This window comes from Homo sapiens, chromosome 22, assembly GCF_000001405.40.
Source record: "Homo sapiens chromosome 22, GRCh38.p14 Primary Assembly".
Taxonomy (NCBI): domain Eukaryota; kingdom Metazoa; phylum Chordata; class Mammalia; order Primates; family Hominidae; genus Homo; species Homo sapiens.
In genome coordinates, this window is record NC_000022.11 from 50,628,765 (window position 1) to 50,650,708 (window position 21,944).

A 21,944-nucleotide genomic window follows, 5' to 3' on the forward strand; every position below is an offset into this window, starting at 1 on the left:
AGGGATATGTGTGTGTGGTGTTTGAGGTGGGTGTGTGGTGTTTGAGGGGTGTGTGTGTGTGGTTGAGGGGTGTGTTTGGTGTTTGAGGGGTGTGTGTGGTTGAGGTGTATGGTGGTTGAGGTGTGTGTAGTGTTTGAGGCACGTATGTGTGTGGTGTTGGGTGTGTGTGGTGTTAGAGGTGTGGCGTATGTGTGTTTGCGGTGGTTGAGGTGTGTGTGTGTGTCTGGTGTTTAGGGTGTGTCTGTTGTGTGCGTGTGGTGGTGGAGGCGTGGTGTGGTGTGGAATGTGTGTCTGGGGTCCAGTCTGGCCTGTTGCAGGGTTACGCTGCTGGGGAAAAACTCATCTGAGGACAACGTGATTGGGTCCTCGCTCCCTCGTTGGGCAGCCTTGGACTTAACCTTTTTGATCTTGAAGGAAAACACAATATGTCACCTCCAAATATATTTCCTTGACACGGTTCAAGACAGTTACTCAGAAGGACTGGAAATAGAAGAATAGCTGAAAAGCTGTCTTTTGTGGGGGAGATTTGCATCTGTGGAGAGAATCTACACTGATGCGGCCAGGCCTCCTCTGAGGCCCTCCTTGCCTGATCTGGGAAGAGTAACAGTCTGACGCCTTTAAAGGCCTGAAGGGAACATTCACCATCTGTTCTCTCTCAGGGCTGCTACCTGTGAGGTTTCATCTGTAGAACAAGGCCACCTTTGCTAGCCAGGCCTCCTCTGCTCTCCCTCCTGTAACCGGTCTTGCCACTGGTCACCTGATTTTCCACCATAAACTGTGGCCATACTTTGAGCCCATGTTCTTTCTGTAACCTCAAGATGGTATATAAGCTTCCGAACCCCATTGGGAGGTTGGGGTCATCACTCTGGTTCTCCCTGTGTGCATGAATAAATCTGTATGCCTTTTTTCTTACTAACCTGGCTTTTGTCAGTTGATTTTCTGTGAACTCAGAATGCAGAAAAGTTTTTCTCTAGGCTCCTACAGTTTTGGTGCAGTCGGTAGGATAACTAAAGTCACTCTCCTGGGAGCCTCCGTCAGGGGAACCCAGGAGCCGACAAGCTGGCAGAAAGAAGGGTAAGAAGGTCTTAGCAGCCAGGCTCCCGGCCTCTCTGGAATCTTGTCAAGCCGACGGTAAAAATGTCTGTTTACCTTGTTTTCCTCTTCAAAGTTTTAATGAGAGAAATGTATTTATGTGATTAGTTTTGTATTCATATTGTTTGATTGCTTTTTTTCCCCAGAAATAGTCGTCTTTCATTCTTGTCTTTCTGTGTTTTTCTGTCATAAAGAGGGTAGAACACAGGCCTAAAACCCCTGTAAACCCCGTCTTGGGGCCGTCCTGCAGGCTAGTCAGTTTTGCAGCTCTGATCGGATGCGTCTAGTTAGACAGACTTTGCTGTGGGTCCCTGAACTGAAAACTGGATGAGATTCTCCTCTCTTTTGATGTCCTTGAAAGCTTGAGTTGTGAGCGAGTGGGAATGATGCAGGCCAGGCAGACCCCAGAGTGGAGCTTAGCCAGTGAGGGTTTTGGCTTTGCCCAGGAAAGAATTCAAAGACAAGCCAGAGGTAGAAGAAAACAGCTTTATTGAACAGGTGGCGTTAGAGCTCTGTGACTGCTCCTGCAGAGCAGGGCCACCCCGTAGGCTGAGAGTAGCAGCTCAGGGCAGTTTTGCAGTCACATTTATACGCACTTTTGATTGCATGTAGATTAAAGGATGGTTTATGCAGAAGTTTCTAGGGAAGGAGTAGTCATCATTGGGTCATTGCCATGGAAAGGGGTGGCAACTCCTGGGTGTTGCCATGGCAATGGTAAACTGACATGGCACAGTGGCGGGCATATCTGACTGAAAGCTGCTATTGCCCCAACCCTGTTTTAGCCAATCCTCAACTGGGTCAACTAAGTCCCACCTCCTACCTCAGGAGCACTCTCTTGGCCTCTGCCAATCCGAGGTAGTGACTCGCAGGTCACATTTTGTGGTCAGTCTGAAAATGGTTGGGAACCCAAGACATTTAATATTTTAAGCAGCACCGTTTTTGTTCTGAATGTGTCAAGCTTTTAGTTTGTCTTAAGAAGTCCCTGCCAGGCGAGCTGTCAGAGCCCCGGCACTGGGAGTGGTGGTCAACTTGCGGGTTGGTAAAAAGAGTTTACCGACAATAGGTTTGAAAAAGGAAAGTTTGGCCGGGCATAGTGGCTCATGCTTGTACTCTCAGCACTTTGGAAGTCCAAGGTGGGTGGATCACCTGAGGTCAGGAGTTTGAGACCAGCCTGGCCAACATGGAGAAACCCTGTCTCTACTGAAAGTATAAAACTTAGCCAGGTGTGGTGGTGCGTGGCTGTAATCCCAGCTACTTGGAAGGCTGAGGCAGGAGAATTGCTTGAACCTGGGAGGCGGAGGTTGCAGTGAGCTGAGACAGAGCAAGACTGTCTCAAAAAAAAAAAGAAAAAAGAAAGTTTGCCGGGCACGGTGGCTCACGCCTGTAATCCCAGCACTTTGGGATGCTGAGGCAGGTGGATCACCTGAGGGCAGGAGTTCAAGACCAGCCTGGCCAACATGATGAAACCCCATCTCTACTAAAAATACAAAAAATTAGCTGGGCATGGTGTCGGGAGCCTGTATTCCCAGCTACTTGGGAGGCTGAGGCAGGAGAATCGCTTGAACCTGGGAGATGGAGGTTGTGGTGAGCTGAGATCATACCATTGCACTCCAGCCTGGGCAACAAGAGTGAAACTCCATCTCAAAAAAAAAAAAAAGAAAAAAAAAGAAAAGAAAGAAAGTTTATTAGAATGCTGCAGAAGAGTGCAATGAGGTGCCTCAGCAAGAGGACTGAGTACGCCGGGTGGATTTCTCCTTAAGGGCATTTATAGGCCTTAAAGTGGAGGCTTAACAGTAATTTGGACCATATTAGCCACGTAAGTCATGATAAATGATTACATTTATAGTAATTTTGGTGCCTTAATGTCAGCGACGGTTGTACAGTGAGTTTCGTCATGGTATTCTGGAGACACATAGAAATTATAGTTACTTACACGTTTTTTGGGGGAAGAAATCTGGAACCAGATGCCTGCTTTAGATAATAGGGAGGTTTAGTTACTTTTGATTTTCCCCAGATAAGGAGTTTTGCCTCGGAGGGCCTGTTTGATGTTTGATGGTCGCCAGGTGGTTTTTGCTCTCCTCAGGCCCATCCATAAGGGGCTTTTGTCATCCCAATGTTTGTTGCCTGGTCAGTCCTCAGAAAGCCCAATCCCAACAGGCCTACCCTGTGTTACAGGTTAATGGGTCTGTGACTGGCAGCCCCTGACAGATTGTGTGTTACTGGAGGCACTGTATGTACAAACACGTTCCTTAACTGTCTCTGGGAACAAGAGTCTTTTGCTGTCTTTGCCTATTCCTGGGAGTGAATTTTGGGGGCATCATTGGAACCTCCTCTTCTATGCCCTCTCTAAACCTGGAAAATAATCTTTTGGGCTTTCCATGAAGGGGCTTCTTGGATTGAGTTGCTATTGGAATAAATACATCATTGGAAATTCTGATTGTCAATAGCCAAAAGATGAATCCTTTACATTAGAAAGATCCCTAAATTAAAAAAAAAAAAAGATTTTAGAGGTCTCTCATTCTAAACAATTGCCTTATTTGTATTTGTGGGGAGATTAAAGGAAAGACACATAATAATGTTGTGGCTAGCCTTAGAAATCCTCTTCACAAAATTAAAGAGCAAAAATCTGACCTGTAACAAGTTAAAATCCTTTGTGCGCGCAAACCATTGCTTTGGATCCCTGCAGGATTCACAATGAAGACTGCTGCATCTTGGAAACTACTTAAAATTCTGTACTTTCACTACCATGGCCTGGGTTCAATTCCCAATAGAGGAACCAGTCCCTTTTGGTTTGATATTTGTGTGACTTTTGAATTCTTTCTTTTGTTTTTTTTTTGGAGACGGAGTCTTGCTCTGTCGCCCAGGCTGGAGTGCAGTGGCATGATCTTGGCTCACTGCACCCTCTGCCTCCTGGGTTTAAGCAATTCTCCTGCCTCAGCCTCTGGAGTAGCTGGGATTACAGGTGTGAGCCACCACGCCCGGCTGATTTTTTTGTGTGTGTGTATTTTTAGTAGAGATGGGGTTTCACCATGTTGGCCAGGCTGGTCTCGAACTCCTGACCTCGTGATCCTCCCGCCTTGGCCTCCCAGAGTGCTGGGATTACAGGTGTGAGCCACCACGCCCAGCTAATTTTCTTTTTTTTTCTTTTTTTTTTTTGTATTTTTAGTAGACATGGGGTTTCACCGTGTTGGCCAGGCTGGTCTCGAACTCCTGACCTTGTGATCCGGCTGCCTCGGCCTCCCAAAGTGCTGGGATTACCAGCGTGAGCCACGCACCCAGCCAACTTTTGACTTTGTGCGGAACTCATTTGTTGTTGACCCTTTCCCCCTCCACTGGCAGCTTTTGATTTCCTTTCTTTGAGCTCTTTGGGGTGGCTCTGGATGTCATCAGGACTGCTTTGCGCCTCTTTGGAGATGGCTTATGTGTCCTTGGTTAAGTCCATAGCTTTAGTTAAGGCTTATTGGTTTTGGTGAGTCACTTGGGAGGTACCTTTGGTTTTAAAAAAAAAGGTCTCAAAGCCATGGCTATCAGCTGTTGGTCTCAGCTAAAATCTGATAATAAGATATTTGAAAGGATTTTAAAAAAGAGCTCTGTGGTCAGAAGTTGGCTTAATTAAAAACAGGTGAGCTGATCTTCAAGCCATGTATCTACAGCCTTTTCTGCTTTTGGACCCTGTTTCTGGGAATTTTTTTTTCAGGTGACTGAAACCCCTTTAAATTGTGTGTTTGGTCCTTCTGTTTGGTTCCTTTGTTGGTATAATTTTGATGAGAAAAATGTAAAATTGTATTGGCCTTTTAGAACCTTAACATTTTTCCAAATTGGCTCCTCTAAGGATTGCAGTCCCATTTACTTCTACCCCTCCGTGCTCCTCCATCCCCTTTGCCATCTTTGGTACCTAATGAAGGGATCTACAAGGGACTTCTGATGACTTAGAGACCCCTTGGGGAACGCAAAGAAAGGTGCCACGCGCCCCGCTTTTGTCTTCCTTATGGGGCCTGAGGAGTCGTGGGTAGCTTCCTCTCGGGTCTAAAGCTTGGCTGTCTTTGGCACTGTGTCACTGGATCTCTTTGGCTTTGGGGGTACCAGGGATTACGTTGCACTGTGAGACAGTGCATGACCTGAGTGTGTGTGATGGCCGGCAGGTCACTGGCGAGGGCTGCCTCACAGTTTTGGAGGTGGCTGAAAGCAGTTGTAGTGAATGGTTGTTCCTGCAGTGGCTGCTTGTTTCTCTGCATGTTTAGATGAGAAAGGCACAATCTGAACACTTGGAGACTATGGAAGCACTTGGCGTCAAAGGCTGAGACTCCGTGGGCTGATTGCTGTGGGTCTCCCACCAGCCTCAGGGGAATGTCTTCATAGTGAGGTACACTGTGGAAACACTGTATGGCTTTGTCTCATATATATCTCTTTTTAGAGGGAACTCAGCATTCAGTGTAAATGTGGGATCCTTGATTTTAAAAGATCTAGATGCTCTGCCTTCCAGCTGCACCTGTTTTTCACATATTTAAATATTAGGTCCTCCAAACTGCAAATGCTTTTTTGGCCATGTTCATTAATGAGCTCTGTCCTGAGCCCAGTGGTCTAGTTCAAAAATGGAGAATAAATTAATAGCCACATATTTAAATAACATTGTTGTCCTTATAAAATCCTGTGGTGAATTTCTATGACTTTTTGTTACCTCAGCATCCATTTAAAATCTTCCTTTAACATACTAAATCAAAGCTTAAACTTTCTCCCTGTGGAATTGCTTGAACCAAGGAGGCAGAGGTTGCAGTGAGTCAAGATCGTGCCGTTGCACTCCAACCTGGGCGACAGAGCAAGACTCCGTCTTGAAAAAATTCAGTAAATAAAAATAATTTTTTTTTCTCTGTGCTTCAAGATGTAAATTTGTTGCCTTGTTTTCTCTAAAACTTGGTAAGGGCTTTGGCCGTGTGAGACAGATAAATTTTACCTTGTTCCATTTACAGAGGCACAATTTTAAGTATCCTTTTAAACTAGTGATTTTTACCCGATTCGTGGCTAAAATCTTAAAACTAAAGCTATAAAATCTTGATTTGTGTCTGTATTTTTATGTGTACATGCCTGTTTGTATATTATGTACATAGTAGCAAATTGACGTATAAATAAATAAGTGCTCATGAATGATGTAACTAAACCCAGATGCTTTTCTAGTTCATGTGACTAGTAATCTTTGGCAAATAAACTTAGTTTTAAAATTGTTGCTGCTGGGTGCAGTGGCTCACACCTGTAATCCCAGCACTTTGGGAGGCTGAGGCGGGCAAATCACGAGGTCAAGAGATCGAGACCATCCTGGCCAACATGGTGAAACCCCGTCTCTACTAAAAATACAAAAATTAGCCAGGCGTGGTGGCATGCGCCTGTAGTCCTAGCTACTCAGGAGGCTGAGGCAGGAGAATCACTTGAACCTGGGAGGTAGAGGTTGCAGTGAGCCGAGACTGCACTACTGCACTCTAGCCTGGGTGACAGAGTGAGACTCCATCTCAAAAAAAAAAATGATGCTAAAATTAGAATATCTTCAAAGTCGTCAGTCTTAAATATAATTGAGACATCTTTGCTTGGGCCCATTGGTCGGACAGGTTCAGACAGTCTCTGTTAGATGCTTTAAGGTCATAAAATTTGCTTCTGTCATATTTCTGATACTTGCTTAATTTGTCTGTGAACTTAGGTCTTTGGCTTTGAGCCTCTACATTCTGGGGTCAAGACAAGTGGACATGATGTGGCCTGGAGACATCTGTGTGTCCGCAGTACCTAAGCCCCATCCTCCCTGGCCCAGCTGTACCCCCCGGTCATGCTGTTTGTCTGCAGTGCCCGAGCCCCGTCCTCCCTAGCCCAGCTGTGCCCCCCGGCCATACTGTGTGTCTGCAGTGCCTGAGCCCCGTCCTCCCTAGCCCAGCTGTGCGCCCCAGCCATGCTGTGTGTCTGCAGTGCCCGAGCATTGTCCTCTCTTGCCCAGCTGTGCCCCCCGGTCATGCTGTGTGTCTGCAGTGCCCGAGCATTGTCCTCCCTGGCCCAGCTGTGCCCCCCGGTCATGCTGGGAGGGGTTGAGTCCTCCAGGCATTGTCTTTGTAGTAGCCCATTCTCACACTGCTAATAAAGACATACCTGAGACTGGGTGATTTGTAAAGGAAAGAGGTTTAATTGACTCACAGTTCAGCGTGGCTGGGAAGCCTCAGGAAACTTACAATCATGGCGGAAGAGGAAGCAAACACGTTCTTCACATGAGGTCAGGAAGGAGGTGTGCAGAGCGAAGAGTGGGGAAGCACCTCATGAAACCATGAGACCTCGTGAGAACTCACTAGCACAAAAACAGCGTGGGGGAACCGCCCCCTTCATCTAATCACCTCCCACTGGGTCCCTCCCACAACACCTGTGGATTTTGGGAACTACAGTTCAAGATGAGATTTGGGTGGGGACACAGCCAAACCATATCAGTCTTTAAAGCTCTGTCCTTTGTCCTGGGCTTTGCATCTTTAATAACAATTAAAATTGCTTACTTCCCATGTTTTTCACTGAAAATTAGGCTTCCTAAGAGTTAACATTGTAATTAATATATGTATTTAAAACTACTAGATATAAGAGAAACACTTCTGTATGCAAAGTTTATAAGAAAGTAGGATGTGTTTTTGGTAAGGAAGGTTATAAAGAAGGCATGAGAATGAGGTTTTTGTTAAAGGAAAAGTAATTTTGTCTAGTTTTGATGTTTTTAAAGGTTGTTTTAAATTAAAGGAATAAAAAAATGATAGATAAAACTGAATATATATAGAAAGTTTGAGAAACAAAGAATGGAACAAATTTTAAGAGGTTATTAAAGGTTTATGGAAATCTTATGTGGTCAAAGCTGATTGAGATTGAATGGATCTGTTTTTAAGTTTTTATTAAAATTAGCTTTAGTATTAATAATATGCTAATGTAAAGGTAGAATTTAGTTTTCATTTTTGAGTAAGATTTTCATGTAGTATTAATAAGAGACAGTAAAAGATTTTTGTTTACCTTTTGAGTAAACTACAAGAAAAGGAGGAGTAGGCCCGGTACGGTGGTTCACACCTGTAATCCCAGCACTTTGGGAGGCCGAGGTGGGTGGATCACCTGAGGTCAGGCGTTTGAGACTAGCCTGGCCAAGATGGTGAAACCCCATCTCTACTAAAAATACAAAAATTAGCCAGGCGTGGTGGCGCCTGCCTGTAGTCCCAGCTACTCAGGAGGCCGAGGCAGGAGAATCGCTTGAACCCGGGAGGCGGAGGTTGCAGTGAGCTGAGATTGTGCCACTGCACTCCAGCCTGGGCAACAAGAGTGAGACTCTGTCTCACAAAAAAAAAGGAGGAGTAGAGAGTTTGCCTCATGCTGTCTTTATTTATTTATTTATTATTTTGGAGACAGGATCTTGCTGTGCCACCCAGGCTCATCTCGAACTCCTGAGCTCAAGCAGCCCTCCTGCCTTGGTCTCCCAAAGTGCAGGGATTACAGGTATGAGCCACCACGCCTGGCTCAAAATTATAATTATTATGTTAAATTGTTGTATGTCACACAAAAAAACAAATCTCCTTGTGAATTGCATCTGTAACCATCATTAGTCTAAGTCATCTGTCATCCACAGTCAATTACTGTTTTACTTTGATTCTTTTTAAAAAGCAGCTTATAATTAGCTACAGTTCAAGACTTGCTTCTTCCTCAAGGAAACTCATGTAAAGTACCCAGACAAGTACTTTTTTTTTTTTTTTTTTTTTTTGGTTTTTGGTTTTTTTTTTTTGAGACCGATCTCGCTCTGTCGCCCAGGCTGGAGTGTAGTGGCGCGGTCTTGGCTCACTGCAAGCTCCGTCTCCCGGGTTCATGCCATTCTCCTGCCTTAGCCTCCTGAGTAGCTGGTACTACAGGCGCCCGCCACCACACGTGGCTGATTTTCTTTGTATTTTTAGTAGAGATGGGGTTTCACTGTGTTAGCCAGGATAGTCTTGATCTCCTGAGCCCACGATCCGCCCGCCTCGGCCTCCCAAAGTGCTGGGATTACAGGCGTGAGCCACCATGCCCGGCCTCAAGATGCTTTTAAAAGTCTAATCTGAGATTCCTTATGAAAAAGTTCTGGCAAAGCCAACTTTAAAAGAGGTTGAATGGCCAGTCACTATTATTACTGTACTTTATGCAAATAATCAGGCCAATTATAATAAGACTAAAACTTATTTTGTAAATCAGTTGTTCTTACTCTGATTTGTCTTTTGTGGAAAAGGGAGACTGGAGAGAGAAAAAATATGTTTTAGAAGAAAACTATAGTATACCTGTTATTAGAGTCCAGACTGACTGTTGACACCTGTTATTAGAGTCCGGACTGACTGTTGACACCTGTCACGAGAGTCCGGACTGACTGTTGACACCTGTCACAAGAGTCCGGACTGACTGTTGACACCTGTCATTAGAGTCCGGACTGACTGTTGACACCTGCCGTGAGGAGAGTCCGGACTGACTGTTGACACCTGTTATTAGAGTCCGGACTGACTGTTGACACCTGTTATTAGAGTCCGGACTGACTGTTGACACCTGTTATTAGAGTCCGGACTGACTGTTGACACCTGTTACGAGAGTCCGGACTGACTTGTTTTTGAGTTGTTATCATTTGCCTATAGTTTGAACTGAATCCTGCATTCTTTCCTAGCTCCAAGTCTCTAAACTAATGCTTTCCAGTTTTTCTCCCATTTTTCTGATTTAAAATCACTGGAAATTAAAATGGCTTTTCTTGAAGCCCTGCAACTGAAGCTAAATTACTTATAATCTTCAGGAGAAATCATCACAGCGACTTATGTATAAATAGCCTTTGTGCCTGTTGATATATGGACTATTCAGAAAGTTCACTTGAACACCCAATTAGAACTACAATCCAGAAAAATCTGTCAAATTGCCATTGCAATCTGAAGATGCTCCAGATGCCTCAGATTGAGGAGAGCTAGAAAAGCTAGTCTATGGATGACACCAGACATTCACCGTTTTTTTTCTTCTGTTTCCATAGAATTGTATCTTGTTAAAGATCTGTTTGTGTGAATTATATACGAGGTCCCAGCCCATCTGCAATGCCACTTCTTGGAATAGGATACAGCTGTTTAACTGAGCTGATCTAGTCTCAGGACTAAGAGACGGATTCAAGAAAATATGGCATGATACATATCTATTTTTCAGAGACAGGGTCTCACTCACTCACCCACAAAGTGGTGTGATCACAGCTCTCTGCAGACTTGACTTCCCAGGCTCAGGTCATCCTGCTGCATCAGCCTCCCAGGTAGCTGGGACCACAGACACAAACTACCATGCCTGGCTAATTTTTTATTTTTTGTAGCAATAGAGTCTCCCTGTGATGCCCGGGCTGGTCTGAACACCTGGGCTCAAGTGCTCCTCCTGCCTCAGCTTCCCAAAGTGCTGAGATTTACAGCCATGAGCCACTGTGCCCTGCCAGGATGACATTTAAATTTGTCTTTTTCTGCTTATCCCAATTTCTTTTTGCCCGCCTCTGCCTGTCTCTTATCTAACAACCTCTAACTCAAATCTCTTCAAAGCTATCAACTTTCTTTTTATATGGGCAACTTTCTGAAAGTCTCAAAGTGGGGACTGAAGGAAACCAAAATATTTCGCCCCAAAATGTATTTCCATGGCTGGGCATGGTGACTCACGCCTGTAATCCCAGCACTTCGTGAGGCCGAGGTGGGCAGATCACCTGAGGTCAGGAGTTTGAGACCAGGCTGGCCAACATGGCGAGACCCCGTCTCTACTAAAAATACAAAAATTAGCCAGGCATGGTGGTGCATGCCTGTAATCCCAGGGAGGCTGAAGCAGGAGAATCACTTGAACCCAGTAGGTGGAGGTTGCAGTGAGCTGAGATTGCACCACTGCACTCCAGCCTGGGTGACGGAGTGAGACTCTGCCTCAAAACAAACAAACAACAACAACAAAAATATTTCCTTGACACGGTTCAAGACAGTTACTCAGAAGGACTGGAAATAGAAGAATAGCTGAAAAGCTGTCTTTTGTGGGGGAGATTTGCATCTGTGGAGAGAATCTACACTGATGCGGCCAGGCCTCCTCTGAGGCCCTCCTTGCCTGATCTGGGAAGAGTAACAGTCTGACGCCTTTAAAGGCCTGAAGGGAACATTCACCATCTGTTCTCTCTCAGGGCTGCTACCTGTGAGGTTTCATCTGTAGAACAAGGCCACCTTTGCTAGCCAGGCCTCCTCTGCTCTCCCTCCTGTAACCGGTCTTGCCACTGGTCACCTGATTTTCCACCATAAACTGTGGCCATACTTTGAGCCCATGTTCTTTCTGTAACCTCAAGATGGTATATAAGCTTCCGAACCCCATTGGGAGGTTGGGGTCATCACTCTGGTTCTCCCTGTGTGCATGAATAAATCTGTATGCCTTTTCTCTTACTTTGTCAGTTGATTTTCCGTGAATCTCCTGAGGGCAGAGGGCAAGTTTTCCCTTGGCCTCTATAGTCTCCAGTTTGTTTAACAGTCAAATGGAAATGACAGACGCGTACTGAACGTTGACCTAAAAGAAAGAAGCTGAAGCAACATTAACATGAGCGGAGGGTTTATTTGGGCCAAGCTTGAGGATTGCAACCTGGGAGCAGAGATTCTATTTGCCCTGAATATACACTCTGATTGGCAACAGTTACAGTAGTTTTTCGAAGGAAAAGAGGTGGCTGGGCGCGGTGGCTCACGCTTGTAATCCCAGCACTTTGGGAGGCCAAGGCGGGTGGATCACTTGAGGTCAGGAGTTCGAGACCAGCTGGGCCAACATGGCGAAACCCTGTCTCTACTAAAAATACAAAAATTAGCCAGGTGTGGTGGCGTGTACCTGTAATCTCAGCTACTTGGGAGGTTGAGGCAGGAGAATTGCTTGAACCTGGGAAGTGGAGGTTGCAGTGAGCCGAGATTGCGCCATTGCACTCCAGCCTGGGTGCCAGAGTGAGACTCCGTCTCAAAAACAAAACAGAAAAAACAAAAACAGATAACATTGGCTATACATTGTTCTTTCTTTTTGAGACAGAGTCTCGCTGTGTTGCCCAGCCTGGAGTGCTCACTGTGCCCTCCGCCTCCCGGGCTCAAGTGATTTCCTGTGCCTCAGCCTCCTGAGTAGCTGGGATTTACCGGTGTGAGCCATCATACCCGGCCTACATTGTTCGTTGTGTCACAAATTCCAAGAACATGAAGATAATGGTGAGGCAGCTGGTCTGGAACAAAGCGTCCTGAAACAATTGTCCCCAGCCATTTTTGCAGAAGTGTGGGATTACTGAGGCCCCACACTCATCCCTCTTGGCCGTACACCCCGCCTAGTTCCGACTCTGCTCTGAGCTACTTCTTTTTCTCATCAGTGTAAGAGAGAGCCCCAGAGGGGGCTTCGGTGAGGATTTTATTCTGTGTGGCTGAGGGCCCCAAGGTTGCTGTAGTAATTGGGCCCTGCCAGGGTATCCCTCTCCATAGCCCCTGCCCTGAACAGTTTCCACTGCAGGTGTCCCCAGGACAGCTCCCTCAGGGTGGCCCCTCCTAGGGTGGCTCCCCAGGGCAGCTCCTTGACCTTGCGTTTCTCCACAAGCTCAGGTTGCCCCTCGGGGAGGAGCAGGACCTGGTCTCCTGATGGGAAGCGCTTTCCCTGGTCACTGACCCTGCAGCCAGTGGGAAGGTGGACAGGGCTCTGGAAGAGCCTCTGGGGACCAGGGTGAGGGTTCAGGACTCGACTTCCACTGAAGCCCAGCTGTGTGTGGGGAGCTGGCATTTTCCTGAGGAAACATGAAAGCTCCAAGATAGAGGCCATGTGGGAGCAAAGTTTGAAGGGACTCCCAGAGATGGGGTGGGAAGGGGCTGGGCTTGAGGCTGCTGCTGACCTTGTGGAGAGCAGGAGGTGCCAGTCTCTGCCAGCGAGCCCCTTGATGTTACATTCCAGTGTGGTGTCTGTGCCTGTGTGTGGCGGGGCTGGGGGCAGGGGTGCGCTGCTGGTGCTTCCATCTGGAGCCAGAACAGAAAGCTGCTCGGTGGCCCAGAAATCTTTGAACCTGTAATTGGAGCTATCGCAGCTGGTTGGCGCTGTGAATTGGAGTTTAAAAGGAGACAATCAAAGGCACTTTATTCTCTTTCAACTGGAAGCTGGGAACTACCCCAGGACCGGCCCCTTCTTCCCGAGAAGAGCCTGCTTAGGGTTGTAGTGTTACGCAAATGGTGGCCCCTTCCCCCTGGGCTCTGGAGGCCGCTCAGGGGTTGCCCACGTGACAGCTGCCTCGGCCCAGCCCTGACCTCCCGGCCTGGAGGAGGGGATGTGTGTGCTGCCAGCTATGTTTGTTCAAAGCCAAGCTCTGCAGGCCATCCTGCCTTTTGGAGATGTGAGTTCTTTTTCTGCATTGACAGAGCCCCAATTGGAGGCAGCCTGCTGGGGTTCGGGAAGTGGCTCTGGACGCCTGGGGCATTGCTAATTTGGGACTAACACCCACAGTCAGGAGAGGGCCTTGAAATGAGGGGCATGGGTCTTGTCTTTTTGCACCTTGGACAAGGGATGGAAGAAGCCTCTGCATGGGGAGGGTGGGGAGTTGAGCTGCTTCAGCGGGAACACGTGGCCTGAGTGGAGGGATTCTGCAGCAGTTCATGAGACCTGCTGACATGGGGATCCACCTTAGGCCCCCTGGTGGCCTTCATCTTCCCCACCCCTGTGGGCCTGCTCCATCCTTGTCCCATCAACCACCTTGAGGCCCTCTGGTTGGTCCCAACTCTGAAAGGGCTCTGCTGGTCCCAGCTGGGCAGATACATGACCTGGCCAAGGGGGTGGCAGGTACTGACTGGGAGGTTCTTGTGGAACCCACTGGCAGGGAGAGGAAGGCAGGAGGTTCCCAGAAAGAGGGGCAGCCCTTTTTTTTTTTTTTTTTGAGACGGAGTCTCGCTGCGTCGTCCAGGCTGGCTGGAGTGCAGTGGCGTGATCTCGGCTCAATGCAAGCTCCGCCTCCCGGGTTCACGCCATTCTCCTGCCTCAGCCTCCTGAGTAGCTGGGACTACGGGAGCCCGCTACCACGCCTCGCTAATTTTTTAATATTTTTTTAGTAGAGATGGGGTTTCACCGTGTTAGCCGGGGTGGTCTCAATCTCCTGACCTTGTGATCCGCCCACCTCGGCCTCCCAAAGTGCTGGGATTACAGGCGTGAGCCACTGCGCCCGGCTTGGGGGCACAGTCTTGAGCAGATGAGGACGGAATCCACTGCCCACAAGAACCGTGGCAGGTGTGAGGTAGCTGCTGTGTGGCAATGAAAGCTTCTCTGCTTGGGCAGACGGCAGCTCCTGAACCTTCTCCGGAGCCCATCTGTGCACTTCCTTGTAAAATCCAGTTTTAGTAAGGACCTGATCACCCTTTATGTAACCACCCAGTGAGTTCACTTTGCCCGCTGCCTGCACAGAGCCGATTTATCAAGACAGGGGAATTGCAATAGAGAAAGAGTAATTCACGCAGAGCCGGCTGTATGGGAGACCAGAGTTTTATTATTACTCAAATCAGTCTCCCCGAGCATTCGGGGAGCAGAGTTTTTGAGGGTAATTTGGTGAGTGGGGGAAGGCCAGTGAGTTGAGAATGCTGATTGGTTGGGTTGGAGACAAAATCATGGGGAGCCGAAGCTGTCCTCTTGTGCCGAGTCAGCTGCTGGGTTGAGGCCACAGGATCAGATGAGCCAGTTTATGGATCTGGGTGGTGCCAACTGATGCATCAAGCGCAGGGTCTGCAAATACCTCAAGCGCTGATCTTAGGAGCAGTTTAGGGAGGGTCAGAATCTGCACTGATCTTAGGAGCAGTTTAGGGAGGATCAGAATCTGCACTGATCTTAGGAGCAGTGTAGGGAGGGTCAGAATCTGCACTGATCTTACTTAGGAGCAGTTTAGGGAGGATCAGAATCTGCACTGATCTTAGGAGCAGTGTAGGGAGGATCAGAATCTGCACTGATCTTAGGAGCAGTTTAGGGAGGGTCAGAATCTGCACTGATCTTAGGAGCAGTTTAGGGAGGGTCAGAATCTGCACTGATCTTAGGAGCAGTGTAGGGAGGGTCAGAATCTGCACTGATCTTAGGAGCAGTTTAGGGAGGGTCAGAATCTGCGCTGTTCTTACTTAGGAGCAGTTTAGGGAGGATCAGAATCTGCGCTGTTCTTACTTAGGAGCAGTTTAGGGAGGATCAGAATCTGCGCTGATCTTACTTAGGAGCAGTTTAGGGAGGATCAGAATCTGCGCTGATCTTACTTAGGAGCAGTTTAGGGAGGATCAGAATCTGCACTGATCTTACTTAGGAGCAGTTTAGGGAGGATCAGAATGTGCACTGATCTTACTTAGGAGCAGTTTAGGGAGGATCAGAATCTGCACTGATCTTACTTAGGAGCAGTTTAGGGAGGATCAGAATCTGCACTGTTCTTACTTAGGAGCAGTTTAGGGAAGATCAGAATCTTGCAGCCTCCAGCAGCATGACTCCTAAACCATAATTTGTAATCTTGTGGCTAATTTGTTAGTCCTATAAAGGCAGACTAGTCCGCAGGGAAGAAAGAGGTTTGTTTGGGGAAAGGGCTGTTCATCTTTGTTTTAAACTGTCAACTATAAACCAAGCTCCTCCCAAAGTTAGTTCAACCTGCGCCCATGGAGGAACAAGCATGGCTTAAAGGCTAGAAGCAGGATGGAGCTGGTTAGATGTTAGATGTTAGATCTCCTTCACTGCTTCAGTCGCAGTTTTGCAAAGGCGGTTGCAATCATATCTGGTCAGGTTCCTCACCCTCCACCACCTGGCAGGTGATGTTGGTCACTCTGGCCTGTCCTCAGCAAGAATCCTCTTCACACCTGATGCTTTCCCTTAGTACATTAACATCTCCTGCCCCCACCCTGCTCCTTGGCTATAAACTCCCAGTTACCCAGGCTGTATTTGGGTTTGAGTCCAGTCTTTCTCCCCCGCTGCCAATTCCCCTTCCAGTGGTCTCTATACCTCTGGTGATGGTCCTGAATGAAGTGTGCCTGACTGTGCTTTAACAAGGGTCATTGAGTCACTTTTGTCTCTGATATAGTGCCCTCAAGCTGTCTGCCCAGGCTGGCTGCAGGCATCCTCCAGCCTCCGGCCACTGAGCTTGCTGTTTCCCCAACCTGGAATCCTGCTCCCTGGACTCCTTCATGCCCACCACTGTGGCATTCTCTCAGGAGGGCAGCCTGGTCCCCAAGCTCTCTCTCCCACTCCTGTGCCCAGGCATGAGCTTGTGAAAGGAAAATAAATCTTGGGGCCCCAGAATCACTAAGCTAAAGGGAAGAGTCAAGCTAGGAACTGCTTAGGGCAAACCTGCCTCCCATTGTATCCAAAGTCACCCGTCTGCTCACTGAGATAGATGTATATCTGATCTACTTATGACCTGGGAGTCCCCTCCCTGCTTCCAGTTGTCCCGCCTTTCTGAACCAAAGCAATGTTCGTCTTACGTATGTTCATTGATGTCTTGTGTCTCCCTAAAATGTATAAAACAAAACTGTGTTCTGACCACCTTGGGGACATGTTGTCAGGACCCCCTGAGGCTGTGTCACGAGCATGTGTCCTCAACCTCGGCAAAATAAACTTTCTAAATTAACTGAGAGCATCTCAGATATTCGGGGTTCACATTTTGGTAACCACGGAGGGATTCTGAGTGGAGATGCCCCTGATTTGGACAAATCTCCTATCAGTGCTTGGTACCAGCATGAGCTAACTTTATGGCTCAAACCAACAGGACAATTTGCTGAGATCTGGCAGCATCCCCTCCAGAGAATCCCTGAGCTTCCAAAATTTGGTTAAGATCTAAAGTTTATTTGCTGTACAACTCCCTTCTTTTTGGAGTTTGTCTTGCGTCCAACAAGGAAGGCAAGCTTTCATGCTTCCATGATGATGGAACGCAGGTAACTCCTTTATGGAGTTTGAGCTCGATCCCAGCAGGGAAGACGAGCTCGAGTTTTTTCCTGCTTCTAGGATGGTAGAGAGCCATCTTCGGCCTGAGACCCATCCCTAGGTAAGTAGCCGAATTGGGGTTTTGTCTTGGCTAACGTTTAACCATCAGCTGGTCTTAATTTCTCCATTAGACCCTTCTGTGATCATATTGTTGGGGTTTTTTGTTGTTTATTCTGGTCTTTCTCCCATCAGATTTGACCAACCATACCTGACTTGGTCAAATCTGAGTGAGAATTCCAAATTATGGATAACAAGCCTGTCTAATTTGGCTAAAATTCTTTGCAGCTGCAGAAGTGGAAAAAACAACAAAACAAAGAAAACCAGAGAACCATGCACTTGGTTTCTGTGTTTGCTTCGTTTTTTTTTAAAAAAACTTCTTTCATTTATTTTCTTTCACCCTATACCTCCTCCCCCCGTTTGCCATTTGCAAAGAATCTAGAGAAGGATTCTAATGACTTGAACGCCTTTAAATAATTCAGAACAGGCTGGGCACGGTGGCTCACGCCTGTAATCCCAGCACTTTGGGAGGCCGAGGCAGGCGGATCACCTGAGGTCAGGACTTTGACACCAGCCTGGCCAACATGGTAAAACCCTGTCTCTACTAAAAATACAAAAACATTAGCCGGGTGTGGTGGCGGGTGCCTGTAATCCCAGCTACTTGGGAGGCTGAGGCAGGAGAATCGCTTAAACCCAGGAGGCGGAGCTTGCAGTGAGCCAAGACTGTGCCACTGCACTCCAGCCTGGGCAACAAGAGTCAGACTCTGTCTCAAAAAAAAAAAAAAAAAGAGAATTCAGAACAAAGGCATCACTCGCCCCTTTTGGGGTGTCCTGTTTTCTTTGTGGAGTTTCAAGTCATAGGCAGATTCTTCTTCAGTCTAAAGCTCTGTTTTCCTGTATTGCATGACCTGACGTTTTTGGCTTTGGGGTACCAGAGATGACCTTGTACTGTGAGAGGATTTGACCTTGGCATGTGTAATTGTGGACAACAGCTACAAAGTTAGGGGTGACTGAGCACAGTTTACAGGGAGTAGTCTTGGCTGTTTTTCTTTCTCTCCTAGAAAGTTGTTGTTTAGTGATCCTAATTCTAGTTTGGAGATGCATTCTAAAGGGCCTGCTCTATTGCTTTTTCTCCCAAAATTAATCATGATTTTGCTTGTCTGTGTGTATTTGAGTGAGGAACTGAACTGTTGTTTTCATAGGAGTGCTCAAAAGGGGGTTGTTCTCCTTCTCTCATTCCTAGATTTGGGAGGCACGATCTCAGGCACTGCACTCCAGCCTGGGTGACAGATTAAGACTCTGTCTAAAAAAAAAAAAAATTAATGAATGAATTAATTAATGTGTATACAATGTTTCACTATTGAATTTATTAAGAGCTGTAATTAATTGATTTAAGAAAATAGCCAGGCACAGTGGCTCACGCCTGTAATCCCAGCACTTTGGGAGGCCGAGGTGGGCGGATCATGAGGTCAGGAGTTCGAGACCAGCCTGGTTAACATGGTGAAACCCCATCTCTACTAAAAATACAGAAAATTAGCTTGGCGTGGTGGTGCGCACCTGTAATCCCAGCTACTCAGGAGGCTGAGACAGAAGAATCACTTGAACCCAGGAGGTGAGGTTGCAGTGAGCCAAGATCGTGCCACTACACCCCAGCCTGGGTGACAGAGCTAGACTTCATCTCAAAAAAAGAAAAGAAAAGAAAAGAAAAGAAAAGCGTTTGCATCAAATACTTTATCAGGAAAAAAGAAAAGACTAGTCAAATGCTTTTTCAAGTTTACATAACTTATGTACAATCTTTAATAAGCTAGCAAATTATTGGTAAAGTAATATTAGAAATGTCTTAAGAATTGCCAGCATACATTTTTGTTTGCATTTATTGATCAAGCAATTTCATACTTATCCCTGCCAAATACTATAAGGTGTCAAAATTGGCATAGGGGTTACATAGGTTACCCTAACCCTAACTATAAACCCAACCCTTGTGTAATTGCTTTTGTAATTTTTAATAAATAAGACATTGATATTGGTTTAATGAAAACAGCTACATCTCGAATTTAGTAAGATTACCATAACTTCTAATCTTGTGGCTTTAGGTGTTCTAGTCCACAGGCCATAAGGTTTGTTTTGGGAGAGGATTGTTATCGTCTTTGTTTCAAAGCTAAACTATAAACTAAGTTCCTCCTAAAGTTTGTTCAGCCTATGCCCAGGAATGAACAAAGACAGCTTGGAGGTTAGAAGCAAGATGGAGTCAATTAGGTCAAATCTTTTCACTGTCTCAGTTATAATTTTGCAAATGGTGGTTCTATAACTTTAAATGATGTCTATTGTAGTTTTCATAAATAATCTAGGTAAATGATTAAAATAAAATAATTAGGTAAATGTAATGGTATAAGTAATTATAGACAAACTCATCATAATTTAGAATCTAAAGTTATATTAATTTTTTTTTTTTGAGATGGAGTCTCTCTGTCACCTAGGCTGGAGTGCAGTGGCACGATCTTGGCTCACTGCAACCTCCACCTCCCAGATTCAGGCAATTCTCCTGCCTCAGCCTCCCAAGTAGCTGGGATTACAGGCATGCACCACCACCATCTAATTTTTTGTATTTTTAGTAGAGATGGGGTTTCACCATGTTGGCCAGGCTGGTCTTGAACTCCTGACTTCAGGTGATCTGCCCGCCTTGGCCTCCCAAAGTGCTGGGATTACAGGCACGAGCCATTGTGCCCAGCCTAAAGTTATATTAAATTAAATAATGGATATTTCATTATTTGGGTATTTTCCAATAAAAATATGTTGTAGGAAAACATTCTTTCTAAAAAATGTGTGTCCTTTTTAAAATGGTGAACAATTTTTGTCTAACTGAAAGCGCATTTAAAGGTTATATATAAAACAAGGGAAAAGGAACCAGGAAATAAGAGAGATGTAAAGAAAGCTATAAAAATAAAGAGCTTTTTTTTTTTGTAAGAAAACTTAAAGAGAAATAATGTAATATGAGAAAGAATCTTGTATGGTAAATTTAGTCCTATGTACAATGACTGTTTAAGAAAGAGGGTTGTTCAAGACAAACCAGAAAGTCCAAGCATGTCACGAATGGTCTGTGTAAGTCACAATAAGAGGATTTGTAAAAAAAACCCAAAAATTTTTATATGATCAAGTTGTCTATAATTAAAGGGAAATCACATGGTCTTTCTAGAGATTGGGCTTGATGTAAAAACAATTTATGGCCGGGCGCGGTGGCTCACACCTGTAATCCCAGCACTTTGGGAGGCTGAGGCGGGCGGATCACGAGGTCAGGATATCGAGACCATCTTGGCTAACATGGTGAAACCCCATCTCTACTAAAAAATACAAAAAATTAGCCGGGCGTGGTGGCGGGCGCCTGTAGTCCCAGCTACTCGGGAGGCTGAGGCAGGAGAATGGTGTGAACCCAGGAGGTGGAGCTTGCGGTGAGCTGAGATCGAGCCACTGCACTCCAGCCTGGGCAACAGAGCGAGACTCCATCTCAAAAAAAAAAATTTTATACACTAAATAATTGGATAGAACAATGAAATTTTCTTAAAGGATTAATTGACTCAATAAATTATAAGAGATTTAATTTTTTTAATGCAAAGTTCAACTTTTATTGCATCTTGCTGTTTTTTTTGTTTTCTCTCCCTTTTTAAAGGGTACAAAATAGTAATGCTCTCCTTAAACTCATTTTCAGCTCATTTAAGTTTTTTTCCTTGAGTTCTGTTTGTTGTGGCTTGATACTAACAATGTTTTCTTAAAGGTCTAAAGGAAATGTTTTCTTCCAACATAATATTCTGTGCAGTGCAGAAGGTCTTTTTTTTTTTACCTTTTGGTAACTGGCCTAACAGATTTTATGGTTTATCAAAACAATTCCTATGCCATTATTATTAAGTTTTGGTTTGCTTAGGAAGAAAGAGATTTAAAAAATTTTTTTTAAATTAAGGTTATTACATCTGTGTATCCTTTGTATGTGGTTTTAAAGTCCTTATGGCATTGAGTTACAGGGCTTTGACTCCTGGGTCTGAAAAGGACACCAAGTCCTGCTAAATCTTAAACACTGACAGCAATTCAAGCCTCATCTTCGGGCCTGGTAGAAGGTGCCAATCAAAATAAACTTCATTCCTGAGACACAGAGACTAAAGCTATTCAACTCCTGAAGGCCCAAGGACGATTGTGGAAGAGGTGGACATGTGAGGTTGTAAGGGCTGATTTGAGAGATAAAATAAGTTCAGTTTCTCTATAAATTAATCATTGCTGTCAAAGGCACACTTATGCAAGACCAGAATATGAGCCCCTGTGTCAGATTAACATGGTTTTCTTAAAGCATTAACTGACTCCTTAATAAAGGTTATAAAAGGCTTGTGGAAGTTATATCTTATGGTCAATATTAAAATTTTACAGATTGTTTATAAAATTTTGAAAAACAAATTTAATTGGCTTCATGCTGTTTTTATTAGGGCTTATTGTTTGGAAAATTAAGTCTTCTCTCTCAAAGAATGAAGGCTTTTGCCTTTTTTTTTTAAAATTCTTGAGCTATCACTTTGGTCAAGTGAATTACTTATTTTACAATGCCCTGTGATATCAAGTGTTTTAAACCTTTGATATTCAACAAACTTTCCAAAATCAAATTATAAATTCTGTCTTTTTCTGACCGAATTAATCCTTTAAGATATTAGGTTTCCTAAAGTCAAAAGAATGACATAATTTGGCTTATTTGGTATAAAAATTATATAGAAAGTATGCTTTCCTTTAAGGAATCCAACTCGACTTATGGAGCCAATAAAAGCCCCATGGGAAAACTGACCTTAGACCTTTTCCACAGTCCCTGTATAGCATAAAGAATGTAAAGTCGAGTCCCTGTGGTAATTAGACCTTGTCCCACA

The 21,944-nt window shown here is 45.4% G+C and overlaps 1 long non-coding RNA gene across 1 annotated transcript, besides 6 other annotated features; it reads left to right on the forward strand.

Annotated features, from left to right (window-relative positions):
- Positions 2,730 to 7,242, forward strand: LOC124905149 (uncharacterized). The gene is made up of 2 exons (XR_007068161.1): positions 2,730 to 5,934; positions 6,779 to 7,242. It is a non-coding gene; the product is annotated as an uncharacterized LOC124905149 (long non-coding RNA).
- Positions 6,498 to 7,014: an enhancer, noted in NCBI's record as "H3K4me1 hESC enhancer chr22:51073690-51074206 (GRCh37/hg19 assembly coordinates)". NCBI's record gives its function as "activates a minimal SCP1, AML or CMV promoter by ChIP-STARR-seq in naive and primed H9 embryonic stem cells {active_cell/tissue: H9 hESC(naive and primed)}" and the evidence as "EXISTENCE:reporter gene assay evidence [ECO:0000049][PMID:30033119]".
- Positions 7,015 to 7,529: an enhancer, noted in NCBI's record as "H3K4me1 hESC enhancer chr22:51074207-51074721 (GRCh37/hg19 assembly coordinates)". NCBI's record gives its function as "activates a minimal SCP1, AML or CMV promoter by ChIP-STARR-seq in primed H9 embryonic stem cells {active_cell/tissue: H9 hESC(primed)}" and the evidence as "EXISTENCE:reporter gene assay evidence [ECO:0000049][PMID:30033119]".
- Positions 12,739 to 13,302: an enhancer, noted in NCBI's record as "OCT4-NANOG-H3K27ac-H3K4me1 hESC enhancer chr22:51079931-51080494 (GRCh37/hg19 assembly coordinates)". NCBI's record gives its function as "activates a minimal SCP1, AML or CMV promoter by ChIP-STARR-seq in naive and primed H9 embryonic stem cells {active_cell/tissue: H9 hESC(naive and primed)}" and the evidence as "EXISTENCE:reporter gene assay evidence [ECO:0000049][PMID:30033119]".
- Positions 13,303 to 13,867: an enhancer, noted in NCBI's record as "OCT4-NANOG-H3K27ac-H3K4me1 hESC enhancer chr22:51080495-51081059 (GRCh37/hg19 assembly coordinates)". NCBI's record gives its function as "activates a minimal SCP1, AML or CMV promoter by ChIP-STARR-seq in primed H9 embryonic stem cells {active_cell/tissue: H9 hESC(primed)}" and the evidence as "EXISTENCE:reporter gene assay evidence [ECO:0000049][PMID:30033119]".
- Positions 14,589 to 15,090: an enhancer, noted in NCBI's record as "OCT4-NANOG-H3K27ac hESC enhancer chr22:51081781-51082282 (GRCh37/hg19 assembly coordinates)". NCBI's record gives its function as "activates a minimal SCP1, AML or CMV promoter by ChIP-STARR-seq in naive H9 embryonic stem cells {active_cell/tissue: H9 hESC(naive)}" and the evidence as "EXISTENCE:reporter gene assay evidence [ECO:0000049][PMID:30033119]".
- Positions 15,091 to 15,590: an enhancer, noted in NCBI's record as "OCT4-NANOG-H3K27ac hESC enhancer chr22:51082283-51082782 (GRCh37/hg19 assembly coordinates)". NCBI's record gives its function as "activates a minimal SCP1, AML or CMV promoter by ChIP-STARR-seq in naive H9 embryonic stem cells {active_cell/tissue: H9 hESC(naive)}" and the evidence as "EXISTENCE:reporter gene assay evidence [ECO:0000049][PMID:30033119]".